Genomic DNA, 24,385 nt, shown 5'->3' with positions numbered 1-24,385 from the left:
TCGGCTTCCCTGTACCTCATAGTGTGTATTAAACAAGAGGACAGCCTGGGCAAGGTGGTTCACACCTGTAATCCCAGTACTTTGGGAAGCCGAGGTGAGTGGATTGCTTGAGCCCAGGAGTTCAAGACCAACCTATACAACATTGTAAGACCCCATCTCTAATTTAAAAAACAAAACAAGAGACACAGGAAAAGCACATGGCACAGCAATTTTGGTCCTCCTGTCCCTTCTTCTACTACTTCCTATGGTCAAGTTCCTCTGAGGCTAGCTCAATGTCTTATCGCCAGTAACTACCCAGTGAAGATTCCATGGCTTGTTAGAGCACACAGGGAATTGTCTGAAAGGAAATCAAAGCACCCTGAGAGCAGCTGGGCTCAACAACCTCGCAGACTCCCTGCACTCCCCATCCACCATGCCCCCGCCCCCCCCCCCCCGACCCCCGATGTTTCCCCAGCCTCTGAGTGATGCTCAACAGGAGTGTGGCTCCGACTGGGCCTTGAATACCTTGGGGAGCACTTTGTGCACAAGAAAGCCCACCAGCTCTACTTAGATATTAAAACGAGTTACCACTGTACCAAATGCACTGATTACCTAATCAATCTGAATACACTGTCTGAAGACAATTAAATTTACAAAGCATTTCAAATGCTTTGTAAAATTCAGCCCAGACAAGGTGTGTGGAATTTTGATGGGTATCTCCCAATGCCTGAGAAAACATACTTCCTCTCTCCTCTGAGAGTGAAGCAAGTTTGCAGATCTCTAAACAGCCAATCTCCACCCCAACCCGGTGGGAAGGAAGCTGACATTTCATGGTATCCAGAGGGCACGCTGGACAAGGTCACCTCTCCTTCATTCAGGAAGGCTGAGTAGCAGCTCTGCTTTTATTTGAAGGGGGAGGGGCTATGGATTGGGAACAGGAAGAAGCTGGAGAAGGGTATGAAGCAAGTTTCTATCATTATTGTTCTTATTGTCAATACCTGTGAACTGAGTCCCACGCCACACTGATTCTGGCCATGCCAGTTATCTCATAAGGAGGAGGAAACTTTGGCTTCTTTGCTCCTTATCAGCTAAGTCACTGAAGGACAGATGCCACAACTGCCACTATTCCAATGGGCTACAGTTGTGTGCTCACATCAAGAGACCTGCTCAGCTTGTTGCTTGCTGGTTGGACTTACATATACTTTGTCTCATCTAGCCACCGAAGCAACCCCGTGAGACACACGGCACTTTCCCACTTCCCAGGGGAGAGCCCTGGCTGAGGGGCAAGTGACCTGCCCAAGGCCATGCAGAAATTACCTTGCAAGAGTCAGGATTTAAACCCCAACACTCTTCCTTGAAGTCAAAGTCCTTTCCACTATGCTACGATGCTTCAAGAAGTAAGTCCCAGAGAAGCCTGAGACCTGGACAAAGTTCCTAGGATTTGAATAATGGGAAAGTTGCCTCAGTGCTGAAGCTGAAGTGAAAAATGAAAAGTGGGGCTGCGTGTGGGGGGACGGGGTACAATACCAAAGCTGAGATTCCACTTTCCACGAATCTTTTTCCTATGAAGACGTGGGCTTGTCCACTCTAGGAAGACAGCTTCCAAGAAAGCCTGCATAGAGAAGAGCATCATTGGCCCAACAACTGACTGGCTGTCCCAGCCACGGTGTCCTCATGGTCAATGGGCCATCAAAAGTTCTAGACAAAAAGATTCTCTCCTTCTATGGCACTGTAGAATTCTGCGATTATAATTCATTGACCATATTATGGTATCATTTCTGGCAAGGTAAAACCTCCATTTACACAATTATCACTTATTCAGTAACCACGGACTATATACATATTAAGTGCCTGACAGTCTACTAGGCACTGGGGATACAAAAAGAAAGTAAAATTTTAGCCTCATGGAGCTCAAACTGTAATTGGAGATACATACAGATACAGATATTCCAAGAGGAGAAGAGAAGAGAGGAGGGGAGAGAAGGGGAGGGGTGGAAAAAACAGAAAAGCTAATTCTCAACTCTCCTTTAAAAGAAATAGACCAGAGGATTAACTGCTTGTATCAGCCTTGGCAGATACAGTAATGGTGCTCAAAAAATAGTCCATCTGCTTCCCCACATTCCCCAGCTACCCTCATAGTTGGGAGTGGTCAGATGAATTGTTCTGGCCAATGTGCCACTTCTGGGCTGAAGCCTAGAAGATCTGATAGACAACCGTCTCTCTGCCTCTACTGCCACAGAAAACACAATGTTCCTGATGTCATCTTAGCTACCCTGGGTCCCTGAGTGACTATATGGAACAAAGCCCTTTGATGACCCACAATGGATGAAGAGCCTGAGAGAGAAATGAACTTGTATCATGTTAAAGCCATTGAAACTTGGAGTCATTTTTTACTGAACTTTATCCAGCTTATTCTGACTCACACAGGCAGATTAGAAGACTAATCACACTTTAGACAGGAATTGATTTCACTACATAAAAATATATGACATGGTTTTAATTAACCTTTTTTCTATATACTGTCTCGAAAAACTTAAGACTACACATTGTAAAACCAGTCAGTGCCCAAGCTGACTTCCATTTCCTACAATTTGGAATTTATACCATTTTTCATGAATTTGTTTTCCAAATGCTAGAGAAGCAAACCTCAGACAAAAAGAATTCTAAAGTGTAATTGGTAAGCTAAGAAAATACTGGCATGGAAAATACCACTTTTAGGAAACCAACAAAAGATAATGGAAATGCAGAGGCTGCGCATTGTCCTGTTGCCATGGTGAACGCAAGACTAGCACGGTTCTAGATGCTATGATAGCAACGACGGCGATGGTTACTGAGATGTCAGCCTGCTGGCAACATGGCTCAGTCTTACCTTGGAAGTCTGTAGCTTGATGATGAGAGGACATCGTTGCCGGAATCTGAAATAAGTCCTGGGTTACTGAACTAATTAATATGAGTTACTAGTTTTTGAAAAAATGGAATGAAGCTGGGCGCGGTGGCTCACGCCTGTAATCCCAGCACTTTGGGAGGCTGAGGCAGGCGGATTACCTGAGGTCAGGAGTTTGAGACCAGCCTGGCCAACATGGTGAAACCCCATCTCTACTAAAAATACAAAAATTAGCCGGGCATGATAGTGTCCGCCTGTAATCCCAGCTCCCAGGAGGCTGAGGCAGAAGAATCACTGGAACCCAGGAGGCAGAGGCTGCAGTAAGCTGAGATGCGCCACTGAACTCCAGCCTGGGCGACAGAGCAAGACACCATCAAAAAAAAAAAAAAAAAGGAGAAAGAGAAAGAACAAGAAAGGAAAGAAAGAGAAAGAAAGAAAGGTGGAATGAATAACCAACTCAGCTTCCCCCACAAGACTGGGAGAAAGATGGAATTGTTTCTCTGAATCATGGGCAAGCTCATCACTTCTGATGAGAAAGACACTTCAGCAACTTTGCTTCCTCATTAGTTAAGCAGCTAAAGAACAGATACCACCATCTCAGCGAGCTTGGGTTAGAGGCTCAGGCTGACAGACCTGATCATAGTATTAGTCACTGGTTGGGTAGGTTCATAGCTCAGCCCTGTGGGGGACGCAGAGCAGAGTAAGGAGGGGTAGGAAAGAAAAATTGAGAGGGTGGAATTCAGCCAAACCTAGTGGGTTTTTATCTCTCCCACAAGCTTTTGTATAAATGAATCTGAATGACTGGTTATTAGACAGCAACTATCTGAATATATTCTGTTGAACCAATGCCTACTAAACGTCTACTATATGGTAAGAACTGTGCTAGACACTGGGAATAGAGAAGACAGACATTGATCCTAACCTCGGGGAACTTAAAGTCTCATTTAGTAAGCACCTGTTGTATACCTTGTGTCATATACTGAAGCAAAGGGGATTTAAATAGTAACAACAACAACAATACTACTTTTGCCTCTCGAGGGAGTTACAATCCATTAAGACCCTCAGGAGGCAACTACAGAAGACAGACATTGATTGTTGGGGACTCATGTGGATGGTCACCCCAGTCTTGGGAGTGAGGCATGGCCTCTGCCTTTCATTTTGGAGGCTTCCAGCATTCCCCTCAAACTTGGACAACCCTGACAGCTCATTTCTGCATCCTTTTGCTTATCTCCATCTTTGAAGCAGGGTTTCCCTCCAAGTTACATTGTTACACCCAGTCTGAGTGCTGCTGCCTCTTGGAAAGTGATGCTTTTTTTCAGGACCCTCTGTCTTCTTTCCAAACTAAGAAATTCGAGATTTTTTATTCACATCACGCCAGCTCCCACACAAGGCAATCTATTTAACCATGACCATTGCCTTTGGGTTTAGTCTCTTATCACCTCTACCGGGAGACTGCATTAAACACAGAGCTGAGTTTCTGGTGGGACGCAGTGGCTCATGCCTGTAATCCCAGCACTTTGGGAGCCCTAAGACAAGTGATCACTTGAGGTTAGGAGTTCGAGACCAGCCTGGCCAACGTGGTGAAACCCCATCTTTACTAAAAAAATACAAAAAATTAGCCAGGCACAGGTGTGGTGGCATGTGCCTGTAGTCTCAGCTACTAGGGGGACTGAGGCAGGAGAATCACCTGAACCCAGGAGGGAGAGGTTGCAGTGAGCCGAGACTGCGCCACTGTACTCCAGTCTAAGTGAGACAGTGAGACTCCCCCCCAAAAAAAAAAAAAAAAAAAACCCAGAGCTCAATTTGTATCAGGAACCTCAAAAACTTTCATACCTTTTGGTCTAGAAATTTCACTTCTGGGAATAATATTCCAAGGAAATTATCCTAAATACAGTTAAAAATATTTTTGCCCAGATACTAATTGCAACACTATTTATGCTATGGAATAATGAGAAAACACCTAAGTACACACAACAAGGGCAATGGTTAAGTAAATTATAGGCTGTCCATACAATGGGATATGTTTTAGCCATTAAAAATGTGTTTACAAAGAAAAAGCTTTAATAAACAGACTAAATGTTTATACAATAATGCCAAGGGGAAAAAGTCATGATTCACAATGGTATATAGAGTTCAAGCCCAACTATAAATTCCATAGGAGGAAGGAAATAAACTAAAATGTTAATAGTTAATGCTAAAAGGTTGAATATGGGAGATTTTTTTCTTTGTCGTTCTTTTCTGTATTTGGCAAATTTTCTATAATGAGGATGAGTTAGCTTTATAATCAGAAAATTCACATTTTAAGAAAGTGATCAAACCAGCTGGATAGTCCTGATTTGTTGGGGTCTGTGGGTGGTGTCTGGTGAGCCAAGTGTAGCTGTTCAAATGTGGGAGAGACAGCCTCTACGAAATATCACCAATATTCTTTAAACCGTTAAACACATTTTATAATTGCAATTGCTTCCTCTAAATTGGCTGTTTATTCTGTTAATGACTTTTTTTGTGAACCACTGTTTACAAATAAGGCAGATCCTAGAATCTGCTAGCAATTAGGGAATTGTTCTGGCATCCTAATGAAAAATAAACACCATTAATTACGCCTGTCCTGGCTTCTACTCATGTTGGTTTTGTGTCATTTACTTTGGGAACGGATATGAACAACCCTTAAAAGATGTGTTTCACCTACAGATTGTTCCTGGGCATTGTTTGCTAATCTCATGGCAAGGAGAAAATGTGATTAAGACGAGATGAAGGAAGACTTCCTCTCCTCCTCCATGTCGGTTGTCATAAACAATGGTCTCCTGACGATCGTTCTTACTAACTTAGCTATTATACTTTGCATGTGCTCATCAACTTCATAGGCCAAGTTAAAGCTTCATTCCTTGGACCAGAACCCAGTGGCTAAAGTTGTCTCAAATTGGAATGCAAAAACACCCTTACTCCTGTCCTGCCTGGTCTGTGCAGAAGCCGTGGGTATACAGTAGACGATATCTGACTATGAAAGAGGTGAAAGTTATAATAAAATAAAATTACCCAGAAAAATAAAAGCCTATTTCCAAACAAAGAGATGTACATGAATGTTCATAGCAGCTTTAATTTGTAATACCCAAACTGGATACAAATCAAATGTCCATCAAGAGATAAATAGACAAATTGTGATATATCCATATAATGGAATATTACTCAGCAATAAAAAGAACTACTGATGCACACTGCAACAGGAATGAATCTCAAAATCATTATGCTACATGGAAGAAGCCAGCCAAAAAGGAATCCATACCATATAATTCCTTTTATATTAAATTCTAGAAAATGCAAGCTAATGTTTAGTGACAGAAAACAGATGGAGGTTCAAGGAGATGAGGGAGGGGCTACCATGGGGAGATAGACATGTTCATTATCTTGATGGCACAGATGAATTTACGGGTGTATACATATGTCATAACTTACACTTTAAGTAGAGGCAGTTTATTGTTATATCAATAAACTTGCTTTTTAAAATGTAATGAACCACATCTTTTTCTTATAAAATTAGTCACAATAATTTTATTCATAGCAAAAGGGTTCTACCATTAATAAGTAACCTTCATTTTTAAAAATTAAAAAATAAAATAGAAAGTGGTGAGGAAAAAACTAATGCTCTCGCACACGGGATGAGTGGTTTAATTATAATTTTGGCTGAGTGGCTGGTTCACATGCCTTCCATGTATGTTATGTAATATTTTGCATGTGTCAAGTATTTCATAATTCAATACACGAGATTCTGATTGCGCATCATGAGAAATGTTTAGTTTATAAAACATGGCCCTAGATAGATAGCAAGAAATGAGGAAAAGCAATGCACAAAATAGAAAATTTGAGGCCATAGAATCACCAACAACCTCACATGCGTTTTCCGGGGTCTATGCTAATGGCTGATGCTCATTCAGAAGCCTGGGAGACTGTTCTAGAAGCTAAAAGCTCAGCCAAAATAAAGGGCTGCTTCCAAACTTTTATCTTAAGATGAGGTGGTTCCACCCTCTGGAGGTGCATTCAGAGCTGCACAAAATTACCCTGAGTGCCATGCCCCCATCATATGGGCCCAGGCCCAGGAAAGGCCCAGTCTCCTTTCCTTGCTCCAGTCAGCCCCTCCCTGCCCTGCTCTGGAGCATCTCCCTATACACCCAGCTCACTCAGACTGTCCTCACCTGGTGTCACCCCAAATACTACTCCTTGGGAAACCTTCTCGACTGCCAGCCAGGTCGAGGCACAGATCTACACCTGCTCTGTCTTTAGCTTCACTTTTGTGTCTTGTGGCCCAATCCCATGAAGGGCCCTGCGCCTCAGGACCTGATCTCAGCCTCCCCCAGGAATAGGAGCCTTGAGACAGCAGAGTTTCCTTCACTGTGCCTCCTTGGTGCCTGGCAGATAGTGTGCACTCAAGAAGCTTCAGGACGAGTGGAACAAGGACCCACCCAAGATTCCTGGAAGGGCCGGTGAGGAAGGGGTGGGTTACAAAGAGGCATGACATCACCTAGAAGTATAAAGAGGAACAACATGAAAAAAATGGGTGACCTTCTAAGGACAGGCTGATGCAGAAGTTCTTTGGTAGGTTCCTCTGCGAAGAACTGGGGATGAATATGCTAGAACATTCTAGCACTTCTGGACTTTGTCTTCTTACCCCCCTAACGATGCACATTCACACATGGATCACTAGTGGGCAATATTGCAATAGGTCATTTTGGAAACAAGTGCCCTCAGCTGCTAAACCACTGATGGGCATATACAAAAAAAAAGAAAAAGAAAGAAAGAAAACACTAGCTAACTTAGCAAGAGCAATGGTCAGGAAACCAAACAGCAATTGAGAACCTAGGCTTTGGGTTCAATGCACTTGTGTCTGAATCCCACTCTGCAGTTTACCAGTTAGATGTCTGTATTAGTGAGGCTAACAGCTATAACAAGCAGCTTGCAGGTCTGAGGCTTAGCCCCGTAAAGGTTTATTTAATCCGCTTAGTCCTCAGAAGCAGGCCCTCCATGCTGTGGATGCAGGATCTCTGCATTTTCCATCTGAGGGCATTTCCAGCTTCTAGGGCCTCCTTAGAGTCATCTCCCAAATTCAATCTGTTGATGAGTGAAGAGAGTGTGGAAGATTACACAGGTGTTTTATGGCCAACCCTGGAAATGATGAACATTGCTTCTGCTCTCATTCTGTTATCCAAAATGCAGGAACATAGACCCAATCTAATTGTAAGGGAGACTAGGAAGAGTGGAATTCCTGTGTGTCCGGGAAGAAGAAACAGGATTACAGAATGTACCAGGTTAAATAGTGTCTCCCCCAAAATGTGTGTCCTTTCCAGAGCCCTGGAATGTGATATTATTTGGAAATAGATTAGTAGCAGGTGTAATTAGTTTAATTAAGATGATGTCATCCTGGAGAATGGAGGGCCCTTAATCCAATATGACAGGTGCCCCTATTAGAAGAGGAGAGACACAGAGACAGACACAGAGGGAAGACGACCCTGGGTTGACAGAAGCCGAGATTGGTGTGATGCTGCCGCAAGCAGGAGAGGCCAAGGATTGCTGGCAACTGCCATAAGCTAAGAAGAAGCCAGGAAGGATCCCCTCACAGAGCCTTTGGGGAGGGCATGGCCCTGCAGAGACCCTGCTTTCAAACTTACAGTCTCCAGAACTGTGAGTGAACACATCACTGCTGTCTTAAGCCCCCCAGCTTGTGATACTTTTTCATGGCAGCCCCAGGAAGCAAATACAGTGAGCATTTCAGTGCCTGTCGACTACGTACTTCTTTAAGCCTCAGTTTCCTCACCTGTAATATGGGCATAATAATGATAATTAACCAATAAGTTTCTCAGAAAATCAAATGAGATGAAGTATGTGAAGTGTTTAGCACACTGTCTGAACCCTAAGTGCCTGAATTAGTCCATTCTCACACTGCTATAAAGAACTACCTGAGATTAGGTAATTTATAAAGAAAAGAGGTTTAATTGGCTCACAGTTCTGCAGGTTGTACAGGCTTCTGCTTCTGGGGAGGCCTCAGGAAACACAATCATGGCAGAAGGTGAAGGGGAAGCAGACACGTCTTACACGGCTGGAGCAGAAGGAAGAGAGAGAAGCAGGAGGTGCTACTCACTATTTTAAACAACCAGATCTCGTGAGAACTCACTCACTATCATGAGAACAGCATGGAGGAAACCACCCCCATTAGCCAATCACCTCCCACGGGGCTCCTCCAACACTGGGAATTACAATTCGGCAGGAGATTTGAGAGGGGACACAAATCCTAGCCATATCAGTGCCCGATAGGGATACCGTGATAATGACTGTTGCCAGGTGGTTTGGAGGTAAATATTGTGGCCTGTGGATTTGCCTATTGGCTGGCAGAAGAATCTAAGACTCAGCATCCTGAAGAAACCTGCAAAGTGGAGAGAGTGAGGGATTAGGGATATAAAGGCTGGGGTGGAGCCCAGCTGTGACTCATGTGCCCTGTGCTGTTGATTGGGAAAATCCAATCATTTCTTCATCTGTGAAAATGGGGGTAATAATAAATGCCTGCTCTACTTACTTCAAGAGGATGTTTGGGGTGCGAAATGAGATACAAAACTCTTACCCTAAATGTACAGCTGATGAAAAGCAAAGAATTGCCTCAGAGGTGAACTTCATTAGGGGTTAGATTCTAAAAGGCTGTGTGGGGCTCTAATCACCTAGAGCCAACCACAGCCTTGGAAAATCCATTGGGGGCACCTGTTGGACGCCAGCATTCTGTCTCTCAAAATCCAGCCCTGCTAGGTTTCCTTTAGCCTAAGTTGAACACCGAGTTGACTTGCATTTAGGAACAATGTTGCACAACTATCTTTAAACCACAGAATCTCACATAGCATCGTGAGATGCCCCCCACTGGGAGGGGCAGACACCACAACACACAAGAATGGAGACAGGGTGGGAATGTCAGGTTCACTGCTTCTATCCCAGATATACTCCAAGGAAGAGACAGAATCAGTGTCTCTCTCCCTCTCTCTCTCTCTCTCCTTCCTTCTCTTAAGGGCGAGCAATTGGAATCACCTAAATTATAAGACATAAAGTAGAGTAGTCCACTATCCTTAAATATTTAGTGGTTGTAGTCCTATTTGCATTCCTTTGGTAGAGAGAGGATTCAGCAAACACCTGTTTGTGCCATCTTGATGCGAAGGGTAATCCATGGAATTTCTACGCTCCCCCTGGCAGCCAATTAGCACCTAACTCTCCACAAGTTCAGTAACTAAGAAATCTGGGTTTTCCTTGCAAGGCAAAGGCATGGAGCAGTGGTAGACACGTGAATGCAGAATTTGGGGGCACCTGATGGCTGCAAACTTGCCCTGTTCTCTCATTCTGTGAGCAGACTCCTAAACGCTGGGGTGCGTCTGGTGTCTTTAGCCATTGGCTAAATTCTCAAAGGGGCTGTTTGTGTGACAGCTACACCTCTGCAATTTACAAACTTTTTCCAGGGCCACGGGTAAAATTTCACTACATATCCATTATTTTGTGGACCTTTGAAATGAGTTAAAATCTGACCACACCTCAGCACCCTTTAAACTCCATACTGGCTTCTGTGCTGGGGTGAAGTCAGCAACTGACGACGTCTCCATCATCACAGGAAACACTTTCTCTTCCCACTAAAAGCGTTGCAGTGACTTTCATAGTTGTGACCTCAACTTTGGATCAAATGGATTACTAATGTGTATTTATACAGTTTCTGAGTGATCAGAATGGATTTTATAACAACAGATACTGAGACCCAAGAACGCAGCATCAAGGGTATTCAAAAAGACATTGATCATCAAACTCCAGTTGCATCATAAGTGCCTGGATGATACTGAGATTAATTCCCAGCTTCCTGCATCCCAACCACACACTATTTCTGACCTTGGCTGCAGGTTCAATTGACACTCAAACCAGTAACACTGTCAGAAGCAGGTGGTGAGCACATCACTTTGCTATAACAACAACATCAGAAATCAGACAGAGCTGCTTTTTAAGATGTGCTTTTTATCCAAGTTCGATATTTTTCCTGAGAGTGATGTTGATCAATTCCTGAGAACTCCAGAACTCTCAAGCCTCGTCAGTACAACCAGGCTACAATCAATGAATATAATCAAATAAGGAAGACCTCACAAGCCCAGCACATGACTCTGACTAGCTAGAAAATTGGAGGGCAGAAAGAAAAGCGACAAGGTCATATGCAGAGAAAATAAATTTGTTCTCCTGGTGACACTGGAGAGGAATTTGGCCTTACGTTCAGGCCTCAAGTGAAGAAGAGATCCCCGGCAGAAGGCACCCCACGCCACTGGTCAGGTGTCTGCACAGGCAGCTTCATGGAAGGGCTATTTAAGTGAGAAAGAGTTGAGCAAGCACCTCTGACCGCCTTCAAGATCCCACAGGTGCAGTGGACTCCTGAGCCACTGGGAGACTAAAGGGAGAAGCATATGTCTGATCAAGGAAAAAAAGTCCACGGCTATGGACAAGAGAATCTGTTTGGTAGACTAAAGTCACCCTGAAATTCTGGGGTTTTAAATAACACATACTCACTTAAGATCTGGCATATGTATTTATACAAAAGACTAGAGCTTCTGGCCAGGAGTCAAGAACAGCCTGTCTGCCCGTGACGCCTAATTACAAATTGGGCTGGAGTTGGGGAGGGGGGTTGGCTATTTGGCAGTAGAAGCAATCATGAACTGCTTTGCAAAAACTGAAATAGAATAAGAAAAATATAATAGGATTCCCTAAGAAAGTGTAGAAGCTGGAAAGAGGCTTTGAGATCCTCCACTCACCTCCCACTTTACTCCCCTAGCTGGCTCCCTCCATCCCCACCATCCCTCCACCTCCTCGGAAGCCTGAGTCCCAGAAAATTAAGCCATGAGTCCAAGTTCATCCAGCTGAAAATCAGGAAGGGCTGCAGCTCAGACCCTGCTGTCTGCACTCCTGGGGTGCGGTGCTTTCCATTCCAGCAAATTTGCTTTGGGGGAAAAGATTTTGATGACAAATGGGCTCTATGCCTTAGAAAAAGCTTCCCTGCAGGAGTTCCTTAAAAAGTCGTTTGTCCTAATATATTTATAGCACAATTTGGCTTCTTAAAAAAAATTGTTTTCATGTCATGAATAGATCCATGGCAAAAAGCAAGGCCTTTTTGCAGAAAACAAAGACTGCTGACATCCTGACCTTGTCTAATGCAAACCTTTTAATTTTGACATAGAGCATCTTGACACTTCACCTCTACCAGGGATTTCCAGTCTGGCTGTCCATCAAAACCATTTGGGGGCTTGCTAGTAATGAGAATCATAGATTCCTAGACTCCAAGCCAGGCCTGCTGAATCAGAATCTATAGGAATGGAGTCCAGGAATTCATATTTTAGAATCTTCCTCGATGACTCAGATGCAGTCTGACACTCGTTCAATGACCACTATTTAGGAACTACTATCCATATCATAGAATATACCAGAGTGAAACTCGCTATTGCATTACAGTAGGTTGCCCTAGAAGAGGGTGCTCCATTGACCCAACCATCAGGGAATTTGTTATGATGACTGAAGAGAGGAAGAAAAATATCATTTATCCCCCAATGGCCTGTTTAGTTTTTGACTGTAGCCTGTTCAAGATGTTAAACATCTTTAAACATCATGTATACATCCAGTTTCTTCCTGAGACTGGAATTCAGTGCAGAGATTTCATGCAGGAAATATTGAGGAATCCAGTGCAGAGGTCTCATTTGTCCCTAAGCCACATGTCTTTAATTTCAGGGACATTCTGCCCTCATCCACATTTACCATCTCTCACCAGGCACTCAGAGACCTCCCTCCAAAGCTCCCAAGCTTTTTTGAGGTTGGGAAGGGAACACTGAATTTTATTTTAAATCTCTTTCATCTTTCCTCTCCTCACCTCAAAATAAAAATTGATCTCTAAGGAGCACAGGTATTGGCTTAACTCGTTCTGAATTACCCTAATCTGGAGTGACTCTTTGTCACTCATCATTTTACAGGTAGCAAGTCACATACCTATTATCCTGTTATCTCCTCCCAGAAAAGAACATTCTAATGGGAACTTGCTGTTCTGTTTTGCCAGCACCCTCAGCAACCAGGCTTCAGAGCCCCTGCTAGGAATGTTATGGGGACTGAAGGTTTCAGACTCCCCCCACGCCTTACACAAACGAGGAGAGAATCAGGTTTCTCACCACTGGCCACAGCAAGGTGGCCATGGGCCCTGCACTTCGAGTAGAGGGGGCCTGGCTTTGGGAGTCAGGCAGACCTGGGTTCAGATCACGGCATTGCTACTGGGTCACATGGATAAAATGAAGGGTCACATTCATTTTATCCGTCTAGGTCTGGTTCATGCTCTGTAAAATGGAAACAATGTTACCTCTGGTACTGGAGTTAGGGGATGTGTATGAAGAGACAGATGATGATTTTGAAAATAATGTAGCTCTATATTAAAACGCTGTGGTTTGCATTACATTTTAATTGGGAGAACAAGATAAAACAGGATGCTCAGTTGAGTTTCAAATAAACAACAGATGACTTTTCATTATAAGTTTGTCTCATGCAATATTTGGGACAAACTTATAACTAAGAAATTATCGCTTGTTTGTCAGAAATTTGAGTTTAACTGAGCTTCCTGTACTGTTACTTCCTAAATCTGGCAACCCTAATTTTAATGGAACATTTTGTTAACAGGGATGAATTAAATTCCTAGACAAGGAAAAGAATTGCTGACTTTAAGAAAATAAAAATAAAACCAGCTTTATTGAGATAAAATTTATCAGCCATATGATTCACTCAAAACAATGTTCTTAGTATAGTATTGTATAACCATAACCATAGCCTGAGTTTAGAACATTTCCATAACCTGACAAAGAAGCCCAGTACCCATGAGCAGTTACTCCCAGTCACTCCCACCTGTCACCCCCAGCCCTACAAGGAATCTGCTTTCCATCTCCACAGGTTTGTCTATCCTGGACACTTTGTATGAGTGAAGTCATTCAGTATGTGGTATTTTGTAATGTCTTCTTTCACTCCGAATAACTTTTTCAACATTCATTAATGTCGTAGTATTGTTGCTTATATCAGTTTTCTGTTATTTTTTATTGCCAAATAATATTCCATTGTATGAATAAACCACACTTTGTTTATCCATTCATCAGATGATGGGTGCTTGGGTTGTTCTGCTTTGCAGCTACTATAAATAATGCTGCTATGAACATTCATGGACGAGTTTTCATGAGGACATATGTTTTCATTTCTCAGATATATACCTAGGAGTGGAATTCCTGGGTCACATGGTAACTCCATTTAACTTGGAATTGCCACACTGTTTTCCAAAGTAGCTACAGCAATGCATGAAGGTTGCAATTTCTCCACATCTTCATCAACACTTACTATTGTCTATCTTTTTGGCTCTAGACATCTCGTGGGTACGTAGTGGTTTGTTACTGTGATTTTGCTTTGTATTTCTTTAATGACTAACAAAACTGAGCATCTTTCCATGTGCTTACTGGCCATTTGTTTATCTTCTTTGGAGAAATGTCTATTCAGATCGTTTGCCCTTTTGTAAGATTGCACTATTTGTCTTTTTATTATTGAGTTGTACAGTTTTTATATTTTCTGTATACGAGTCCCTTATCAGATATATTATTTGCAAATATTTTTCCCATTCTATGGATTGTCTTTCCACTTCCTTAATGACACCACCTGTGGTACAAAAATTTTTAATTTTTATGAGTCCAATTTGTCCATTTCTTCCTTTTGTTGCTTGTGCTTTGAATGTCGTATCTAAGTCATTGCCTAACCCAAATCATGAAGATTTACTCTTTGTTTAATCTGCTGACAGGTTTTCAGGCTCTTTCACTTACACTGGATTTAGAAACCTCTTTGTTCCTAAATGCTTGGAGGGAAAATGAGGTTGTGGAGTGGAGTGGGGAAGAGATGTATGTGTGACTTATAAATAAAAACAGGTATTGAAATACAAAGTAAAATGCCCCTCCAACTTACTCACCCAACAATAATCTTCAGTGTGATTTCCAAATGATCTTTCCACCACAGAAGTTAACCATAAAAATGCCCCTAACATATCCAACATCCCCCTTCCCTCTATCAGCCCCTGGAACTGGCTGGACTGCATAGGGTGAGGCTAGTGCAAAGAGTTTCTTGCCAAGATGACAAGAGGGGCTAAGACTGGAGAGATTAGTAAAGTCAGAGCTAGGAGAGTTGAGGTCCAAATGCCAGCAACAGAAAGGGTGCCTAACACATTGAGAGCAGAGGGGAAAAGGAAGCAAAAGCAAGCAGAGAGATTCCAGAGTCACAAAGCCAAGGGTTTAGGACGGTGGGACAAGATGAAGTGGAAGCAGGTTAGAATCAGTTGTAGAGAGATGAAGGGTATTGAGAAGGAGGGAGTGAGTAGCTGAAGCAATGGTCTGAAAACCCCAGAATTCAAGGCTTCCTGGCCTATGGCTCATCAGAAATGTGAGTCAAGAGTAGGTCAGTCCACTTTCAGGAAATAGGAGTGGGGCAGGAGAATAGGGAACATCAGTAGCCACTGCTCTGGAAAGCCACCACTCCTTTAGATCAGTTACTTTATCTCCTAAACAGTCTCATGAAGGAGTCAATATTGTCTTGCCTATTTTCTAGATATGGACACTTCATCCCTGGAAAATGTATGCATCTAGACTTCTGTTTCCAGCAATATGGAAGCTAATATTATCCAAAGGGCTGTCCTGCTGCACTTATTTTATTGGTAGATTTGTAAGAAATAAGTTTAATGTCCAAGGACCTCGTCCTCACCCCAAAGAAAAACAAACCTGAGCTAAAGAAAACCTGCATTAAGCAGATGGAAAGATGGGGTTGCACTGAGTACAAATGTCAATATCAGCTCTGCAACTGAGACACTAATCGCTAGGCCATCAGCAAGATGGAGGAGCTAAGCCTAAAACTACTATATTAAATTACAGACCCTCAACAGTCTAAAGTGACCCCAAATTCATAGACGTTTTTAGGTCCCAGAAAGAAATCTAATACAAAGACTTTTCGGAGGAAAGCATTTAGATCTATAGGATTCCTACCAATTAAGCACATACAAACATGGCCCCATAATAAAAGACCACCAAATACACAAGAAAATAAGTCACTATGACTTAAAGTTAGCAAACACATCCAACAGTAAACCTGGACTGCCAATATTTCAGAAATTATAATTACTAGTTAGATAATATGAAATAATGTTGCATTAACTGTTAAAGGAAATTAAAATTGGCATTACAAAAATAAGCAAGCAAGAAAAGACCATCAAAATAACCAAAGATATCTAAGAAATAACCCAATAGAACTTTTAGGAATGAAACTATTGTTGAAATCAGAAATGCAATGGATGAGTTAAATAATGGATGAGGCACAACTGAAGAGAGATTAGTGTATTGGAATACAGAGCTGAAGAAATTACCTATTAGTGTAGCACTTCAGTCAAGGAGATGGAAAATATGAAAGAGAAGCTAAGATCTATGAAGGCTAAAATTAAAAGTTCTAAATCACATCTGATAAAAATCACAGAAGGAAAGAATACAGAAAATGGAATTTTTTCAGAGAAAAGTGGCCAAGAAAGTTTCCCAAGTTGATAAAAGACATGAATCCATAAATCCAGGAAGTATACATCCAAAAAGAATAAAAGATATGTGTAGATATAGTGCATTGAAATTGCAGGACACCAAAGACAAAGACGCAATATTAAAAACAGCCAGAAAGAAAAGACAGACCACCCACAAAGACATTAAAGTGACAGCAGACTTCTCAACAATGATAATAACAACCAGGAAACAGTGGAACCATACCATTTCAGTACTGAGAGAACATAAATGTTAACCTAAAATTTGTAACCAACATAGTTTGAAATAAAAAGTAATTTCATAAAATTTTATAAACAAAAAATAAAATGCTTGCTACCAACAGATCTATAGTCAGTAAAATAACATTTAAAAGACATTCATCAGGGAAAAAAATAAAAGATAACAGAAAATGTGTCTATGCTACAAGAAGAAACTGAGCAAATCAAATGGAAAACATACAGGTAAATCTACACAAATTTCTATTTTAACTAAATACTGAACTAAAATACTAAAAAACCACAGCCTGTAAGTCATAAGTATGAAGTATAGGGGGGGATTGCCTGGGGGTTAAAAAGTTTTCTAAAGTCTTATGTTCTTCATTAAAGATTTTGTTTAAAATGCATGTACATGGTAAACTAGGATTGTCCTGAGAAAACACCTGTTGCACCAGCATAAATATTAGCAGCCCCTTTTACTCTCAAAACTGTCCTGGATTGAACGATAAGTTATATTGTCATCCTGCCTATGACACAATCATCCCTCTCTTGGGTACATGTCCTTGTATGTGTGTACTGGGAGATGTGTGCAAAAATGTTCAACAAGAGGGACACTGCTTAGTGGTGTTTTGTAAGCTGCTTAGTCTTCTCACAGAAGGAGATGATGGAGATTAGGGAAACATATGGAACTCTTCACAGTCATGATTAAGAATGGGAGCTGGAAAGTGAGCCTGCCTAACTTTTCATCCCCATGCCACCACTTCCCAGCTCTGAGCCCATGGTCAAGTTGCCAAAGCTCTGTAAGCCTCAGTTTCCTCACATGGAAGATTTGGATAATCACCTACCATGCAGGGTTGTTGGGAGGTCCATTAGCATTCATAACAGAAACTAACATTTAATGAACACTTACTATAGCCACAGGTCTGCTGTGAGTTTTATGTATATAGCTCATTTAATCCTCATGATGACCTTGAAGGTGGGTATTATTATTATTCTCATTTTATAGGTGAGATACCTGAGGCCACATTGAACAACCTATCCAAGGTCACAGAACAAGCACATCTTGGGCCAACACAAAACCTGGGCATCCTGGCAGGAGTGAGGGGCTTTCGGCCACAGAGCCTGGTGCACCATGAGTGCTCAGTACCTGAGTGAGTAAATGGTGGTGATGATGATCATGGTGGTGGTGCCATTCCTATCAGATCAACAGGGGGTAGCAAGGATGGAGGCCTGTAGACTCTCTAGAAAAGGTGACACCGGGGCCCACTGGCACCCAATACATTTTCTAATGCTGCCGGGCTTGAAGCACAGTGTCCCCTCCAGCCAGTTGCTGGTGGCTCCATATTCCAGCTGTGCTTGGAAACATCTTCTGGTGGGCTTTTCAAACACCGCACGCTACCAAGATCCTAAGCCAGTTCCCCAGTTTCACAGAAACGTGTGCAAGCCTGAAGGAAGAGACAGGAGTCTCTCGTTTGGCTTGTGTTTTCAGGCATGATTTACTGTTAAACTTCAGGCAGGGAAACCAACATAAGAAGCAGATGAGAGTCCAGATGAAATACTCACTTCTCCTTTTTCAGTCAAGCACTAGGAGGAGTGTCTAAGGGCTCCCAAATTAATCTCCCATAACATTGCCACCTGGACTGACCTCTGTGTGGCCCTGCCTGTGGCCTTGTTCCTCTTTTGAGTTCTGACTTTCAGTCCTGACTTTCAACAGACCAAATAATGAAAGAAGTGAGCTATCGTCCTTACAGATGAGAAAACAGAGATTCCTCCTGAGGCAAAGGAGCCACAAAGGAGGAGAAGGGGAACTGGGATCTGGAAGGGGATGGCTGCCTCAGGGATCCAGTGACTTTGCTCCACCCAAAAGGTTATGTTGCCTAGGAAGTTTCATGAGCAGGAGAGAGGCGAGAAGTCCTTGTCATAGTAAAATATGGGGCTGGGGGAGAATAAGGAACCCCCTTCCCTGTTTCCTTCCCTCTTCCCTCCCTCCTCCCTCTCTTCTTTCCTCCCTCCCTCCCTTGATTCCTTGGGAGGGCAGGGTGGATGCTGACCCAGGCCCTGGGTATATCCTGGGAACAGGCCAGCCGATTCTATGCTCTGAAGGAATGTGAGAGCCTGCCCCACAAATCACAGTGGAAGCTGCTGAAGAGAGAACCCCTCACTTCAGCCTCTGCAAGCCCCCACACATCACATACAGGCACCCTGGTGTTGGGTGCTGAGCCTAACGAGGCACTGGTCAGGCCTCTGCAGCTGGCTGGAGGTCCAGCCCCAATTTCAGAGCTATCAAGCCTCAATGCCTACATGTGCCACAGCTCCAAAACCCAGCCTCGTGGTCTTAGGATCCAAGATTTTTTGCATCTTTTAGGTTTAGACAGACCCAGACTCCTGACCTGTATTTTTCTTGCTCTTGGGCCTGGCTCCACTTTCCTCCATACAAAGCTATTTACCAGGAGCTAAACAAAAATGATCTCTCCAATTTGCAGCCACGCTGCCTGGCTTTCTGATGTTAAAAGGCCTGATTTGTTAAAGCCTCAAACAAACCTATTGCCTACGTGGGTTTGGTTTCCAAAAGCTGGTCTAGTTCTCCCAGATAGAGCTGATGAAAAGGAGGTGTGGGGACCCATGCCACCCCTGTATAGAGGACCCCTATAAACTCACGTGCTGCCTGATCTGGGGCATTTGGCAGGAGGGGCTCTGTGGCTGTGCCTCAAATCCTTCCAGGAAGTCCCACCAGCTTTGTCTGCCTGGTCTCCTGTGACACCCCAGTGCATTCAGGCGACTCCCAGGCTGGAACTCACTCAGCCAACCCCTGCATGCCGAGGCCTGTCATGTGCCAGGCGTGTGCTAGGAGCTGGAGATTTTACTCTGAGCAAATTAGACATGGCCCCTGTGCTCCCTGCACTTCCATTCAGGGAGGGAGAGCAATGTTAGCTCAAATCCTACTGGAAGTACTCACCTCCAACTGTAATACTCCATCCCTAACCAAGGAAAAATGCAGTATTGCGGGAGGAGGTGGGAGAGGGCCCTGACGGGGTCTGGGAGGGTAAAGCAAGCTTCTCTGACCTTTGAGCTGAGAGTAGAAGGATGCATGAAGAGGGCAATGCTACTGGGGGTGGAGTCGGGGGCAAGAAGGATGTTTTACAGGAGGCAGCTGCATGTGCCAAGGTCCTGAGGCAGGAGGGAGCACACCTATGCGGGGAGCAGACTGTCCAAGGCCTGGAGTGGAAACTGAGGCTGGAAATGGGGCAGCAGTTGGTCCAGAGCCCCTGCCTACCTCAGCGACTGTGCCCACAGTGCTCTCTCCACCCTGCACACCTGGTGCCTGCAAATCCATGTACCTCCCTTTCCTTCTCTTCCTGCCCAATCCCACACCCCTCCCTCCAAGAAACCTCCCTCATTCCCATACTTGTAAATGTCCACTCCCTGCTCTGAGCCCTCTCCTGATATGGAGACACCAAGAAGTCCACAAACCCAAGCTGGGCCTCCCTACTCACCTGACTGTGCCAGGGAGATGCCCAGACAAAGGGGCCCAGTCCCTGCCCCAGAGGGGGCACCAACAAACCATGACTGAGAGCAGGTGATCAGTACTGGCTTGAAGGTGTGCAGAGGTGCCTTCCCCTCCCCAGTGGAGGCACCAAATACTCCCTGAGCCCCTACTCCACCCTGGGCATGGCTCTAAGTCCTAGGGATGCAGCCGTGAGCTCAACAAGCCTATTCCTGCCTTCATGGGGCTTGTACTCAAGAAGAAGGGGCAGAAATAAACAAATGTGTCTGATGCCAGGTGTTGGTAGGAGATTGAGAAACAAAGCAGGTTATCGAATAGGGAGTGCCAGGTGAGTGTGGTAGTAGAATGGGTTTTTTATTAGAGAACATGGGCTGTCTTCTGACAAAGCACCGACAAGACAAAGTCTTTCCATAGTGAGGGGCTGAGTTGTGAGAATACCTGGGGGTGGAGCAGTGCAGGCAGAGGGAAAGGCAAGTGCAAGGGCCCTGGGGCAGGCCCAAGTGCAGCACGCCTGAGGGGTGGCATGCCACCAGTGCATCTGGAATGAAGTGCAGGGGGCAGGTTAGGAGAGGAGGCTGGGGAGATGATGGAGGGTGTCTCAGGATTGTACCCCAGATTTAATTTATAGAGGCAATTGAGTGACAAGAGAGAGAACCACGAGGTGAAGGACTGGACAGGGCCAAGACACAAAGAGTGAGGCAGAAGCCTAGGCCAGCAGAGCCCTCATTGTGGTTTCCTCAGGAAAGGCCAGGCCAGGCAGAGGAAACAGCCCAGGACCAGCTAGTCTGAATCGTGTTGGGGGACCTCTGGACTCTGGGGTGGTCTCTAGATGCTCGGTATCTGGTTCAGGGGTGGTTTAGGGCAGGGGAAATATTGGTTAGTGTGTGAGTGAGATAGAGAAGGTGAGTGGAGAATGGGCCCTGGACTGGTTGGTTACATGTGAGTGGTGGTGGGCTTGCAGGCAATTTGCTTTCTGGCCAGTAAGGTCCCCAAGATGTCAAAGCATCATAAAATATAGAAAATACCAAACATGATTCATTCCTAGGGGTCCAGAGCGTGCAGGGCCTCACAGGCCACGGGGAAGAGCTGGAATCCCCTCTCAAGGATATAGAAGCCTGTAGATGGGGAGATCTATCTGGGAGTGGCTGAGAAGCTACGGAGGGAGGCTGCCTGTGAGCTGAGTCCAGAGACAAGGGCAGGGACGGGAGGCGCAGGAAGAGGGGGGTAGTGGGAACAAGGACTGTAGGGCGTGACTGTGCATCAGGAAGGGCGAAGGGTCTCGGGGTGTGTGGTCGGGTCAGCAGTGGGAAGTGGAGGCAGGAGCTGGGTTGCAGAGGGCTTGCCTGGAGGGTCGTGGTTGAGATTGAAACCATAGCTCTGAGGCCCAAGAATCAGCTGTCAGAAGTCCCCAGGTTGGAGAGTGGCTGATCAGATCTTTCCACTGCAGGTTATGATTCTTTCTTTTACGTTCTATGGTTGAGCTATACCTTCTCCCTCCGGGACCCTGAGAATTCCTGAGGCCAGAGCCAGTTCTTGTCTCAACTGTGAATCCCCCTTAAACCAGGCCCCATGGCTGTGTGCTTTACACGCGTTAGGTCACATTGTGTCACTTCAGCCCCTGCCAGTGCTCTGGGATAGGCACAGTCTCTGCCTTTATTGAAGGTAACTAAAGCTCAGAAAGTAAATCATGTGCCTAAGGCCACAGAGCTAATATAACACGGAGTCAAGACTCAGACGCACCCAGTGGTGTCCCCGTGAATGTTTAGCCAGTTCTCTGGGAAAAGAGAACTGATTGTTAGTGTTTGCCAATTTCTGTGGTGTAAATACTCCCACCATGGCTGATTCCAAGCTGCCAGCATGAGCTCATGGAAGGCAGAGTTGGGGAGCAACCATTATACAGTATTTCCACCAGAAGGATATTACAGACATAAATAACCTCAAAAGCATAGATCAAGAGTTGGCAAACTTGACCTGGGCTATGGGCCAAATCTAGTGCTACATGTTTATAAATAGTTTTACAGGAGTACAGCCATGCCCATTCTTTGATGCATTGTCTGTGGCTCCTTTTACCTTAAAACAGCAGACCTGAATAGTGTGTCAGAGACAAGAAAGCCTAAAATACTTACTATCTGCACTTTCATAGAAAAACTTTGGAAACCTCTGATACAGATGGTAATACAATGTTATAAAATAATTAGAAAATGATGAGTTTTGAGTATTTATTTTCTGTTTTTGATATAATTTATTTAATTGCAATTTTCTACAATTTCATTTTTAATATATGTTTAAAAACCAGCTGCAAAACACTTACAAATTTAGCAATCCGCTTTTGCAAGCTGGAAATATCCCACTCCGGCACACCACTGAATTACGTCTGCCTCCAAATCATGTGCTCTTTTCTTGACACATTTTCTGAATGAATGAAAGCATGCATGCATGAACAGACAAGTGGTCAGACCGAAAGAGAAGGGCCCTTGGCCTGCATGTTGGGAAATGTTGCAGACTTCAGCAAGAGCACAGATGCCTTCACCAAAGGCCTGATGACTGTAAGAATGAAACTCAGCTGACCTATTTAAAGCAGTTAGAGGAAGAATGGAGACTTAGCAGGTGAGAGAGGGAAACTAGAGAAGGGGCCTTCATAGGGCAATCAGGCCTAATTTTCCACGAGCAGAACCAGGATCAACAGGGCACCACAAAAGGTCTGTGTCCACCTCAGTGCAAGGCCTGTAGGCCCCATTGTCAATAGAAATGAAAGTCTAATTAATAGACACTGTTTTGCCCCATGCTGAATGCACTAAAATCTAACTTGGTTCTTTAAGAAGTGGAGGAGCAGAAGTGGCTTGTGTGAGGACCTTAAATTTTTCTTTAGTAGAAACCTTTATGCCTAACAGGAAATCATTTGAAGTGAAAATCACATAAGCAGAATTATCAGGTCTAAGAGCATGTGACTTGACCCTGTCTTTGGCAAGGGCTGTCTTGGGAATAAAGATGCCTACACTTGAGGTGCTATGCACAAACACAAACACACACATGCACACATTCACACAAATACACACACACACACACACACACACACACACACACACACACACACGCCACGTTAATACTGGGCCTGCCTATTCCCCCCAGTCATGATAGTTCCTGTTGCTTCTCACCCTATTCTATCCCCCTAAAAATACCCCGACACAGTGAAAGACACAGGCCAGAAGTTGAACACACGCTACAGAACCCTGAAAGGGAGATGGGGGCCTTAGAGAAGGCAGAGGACATTTGCAGAATCCTGAGCATGCTGGGAAAGGATGGTCGCACAGCTATTCCCCAAGATTATTCGGTGTGGCTTTTCGGGTACTGGCCCAGCCAAGAGGTTCAACTGAAAGAGAAAGAGAATTTCCAGTTTTGGGTTGTGTGTTTTTTTTGTTTTGTTTTTGTTTTTGTTTTTTTGCCAGGACACTTTCCCCTTGTCCTTGCTTTGCCCTTTCCTGTTGTGGAGGGGGCCACTCTCTGGCTTCAAGATGTGCCTCCTCTCTGTGGACCTGCACTGCACCTTGGATGGGACACCCAAAGCTGCTTGTCCCCAGGCAATTTTGCCTTCAGATGTCCTCAGCCATGACAGCCTGGTGCCCAAGCCCACTCAGGTGCCACCCTGCCATCTCACCAGCTTATCCTGGGGCACTCCCTACAGGGAAAACACACAGACAAAGGGCACCTTAGCTCCCTGGCCCTGGACTGCAGGGGCTGTCATTGGAGCCCTGCACATACGTGAGCCATGGATGCATCTTCACAAAACCACAGTCAGAAGGAGAAGGGGACTAGCCCAAGGTCACTCCATTGAGTTGAAGTAAAACCAGGCCAGGACTCCAGGTCTCCTGTCTGCCAGGCCTCCCAGAAACCAAACAGAACCCAGCTGCCAGGAGGAAATTGTCCTCTCCCTTCCTACTTTCATATTTTTCACTAATGATGGACGTCATCAACACAAACTTTCAAAACAATACAAAGGGCACAGTTATTGTTTCTTATGGAAGGGGTGAGAAGGAAAGAGAAACTTTATACATAATAATTTTTGCTATCAAATGAGAGATGCCGGTGACAAGCAGAGGCCAGAGTGTGGCACATTTAATTTAAGCCGTGGCAGCGAGGGGCAGCCTCCATTACAGCCATAATAAATTACATACAAGTGCCACCGAAC

General features: G+C 44.2%; 1 long non-coding RNA gene across 3 annotated transcripts in view, besides 2 other annotated features; it reads right to left on the bottom strand.

The window, feature by feature from the left end:
* The window catches only part of LINC02641 (long intergenic non-protein coding RNA 2641), a 214,291-nt gene that overhangs the window by 141,098 nt on the left and 48,808 nt on the right, over positions 1-24,385 (bottom strand). The gene's annotated exons all lie outside the window — the stretch shown is intronic.
* Positions 17,981-18,070: an enhancer, noted in NCBI's record as "active region_4158". NCBI's record gives its function as "activates an Ori minimal core promoter by ATAC-STARR-seq in GM12878 lymphoblastoid cells {active_cell/tissue: GM12878}" and the evidence as "EXISTENCE:reporter gene assay evidence [ECO:0000049][PMID:35858748]".
* Positions 22,722-23,031: an enhancer, noted in NCBI's record as "active region_4157". NCBI's record gives its function as "activates an Ori minimal core promoter by ATAC-STARR-seq in GM12878 lymphoblastoid cells {active_cell/tissue: GM12878}" and the evidence as "EXISTENCE:reporter gene assay evidence [ECO:0000049][PMID:35858748]".

Source organism: Homo sapiens, chromosome 10 (assembly GCF_000001405.40).
Source record: "Homo sapiens chromosome 10, GRCh38.p14 Primary Assembly".
NCBI lineage: Eukaryota > Metazoa > Chordata > Mammalia > Primates > Hominidae > Homo > Homo sapiens.
Note: the sequence above shows the minus strand (reverse complement) of the source record. Positions and strands in the feature narration are given on the sequence as shown.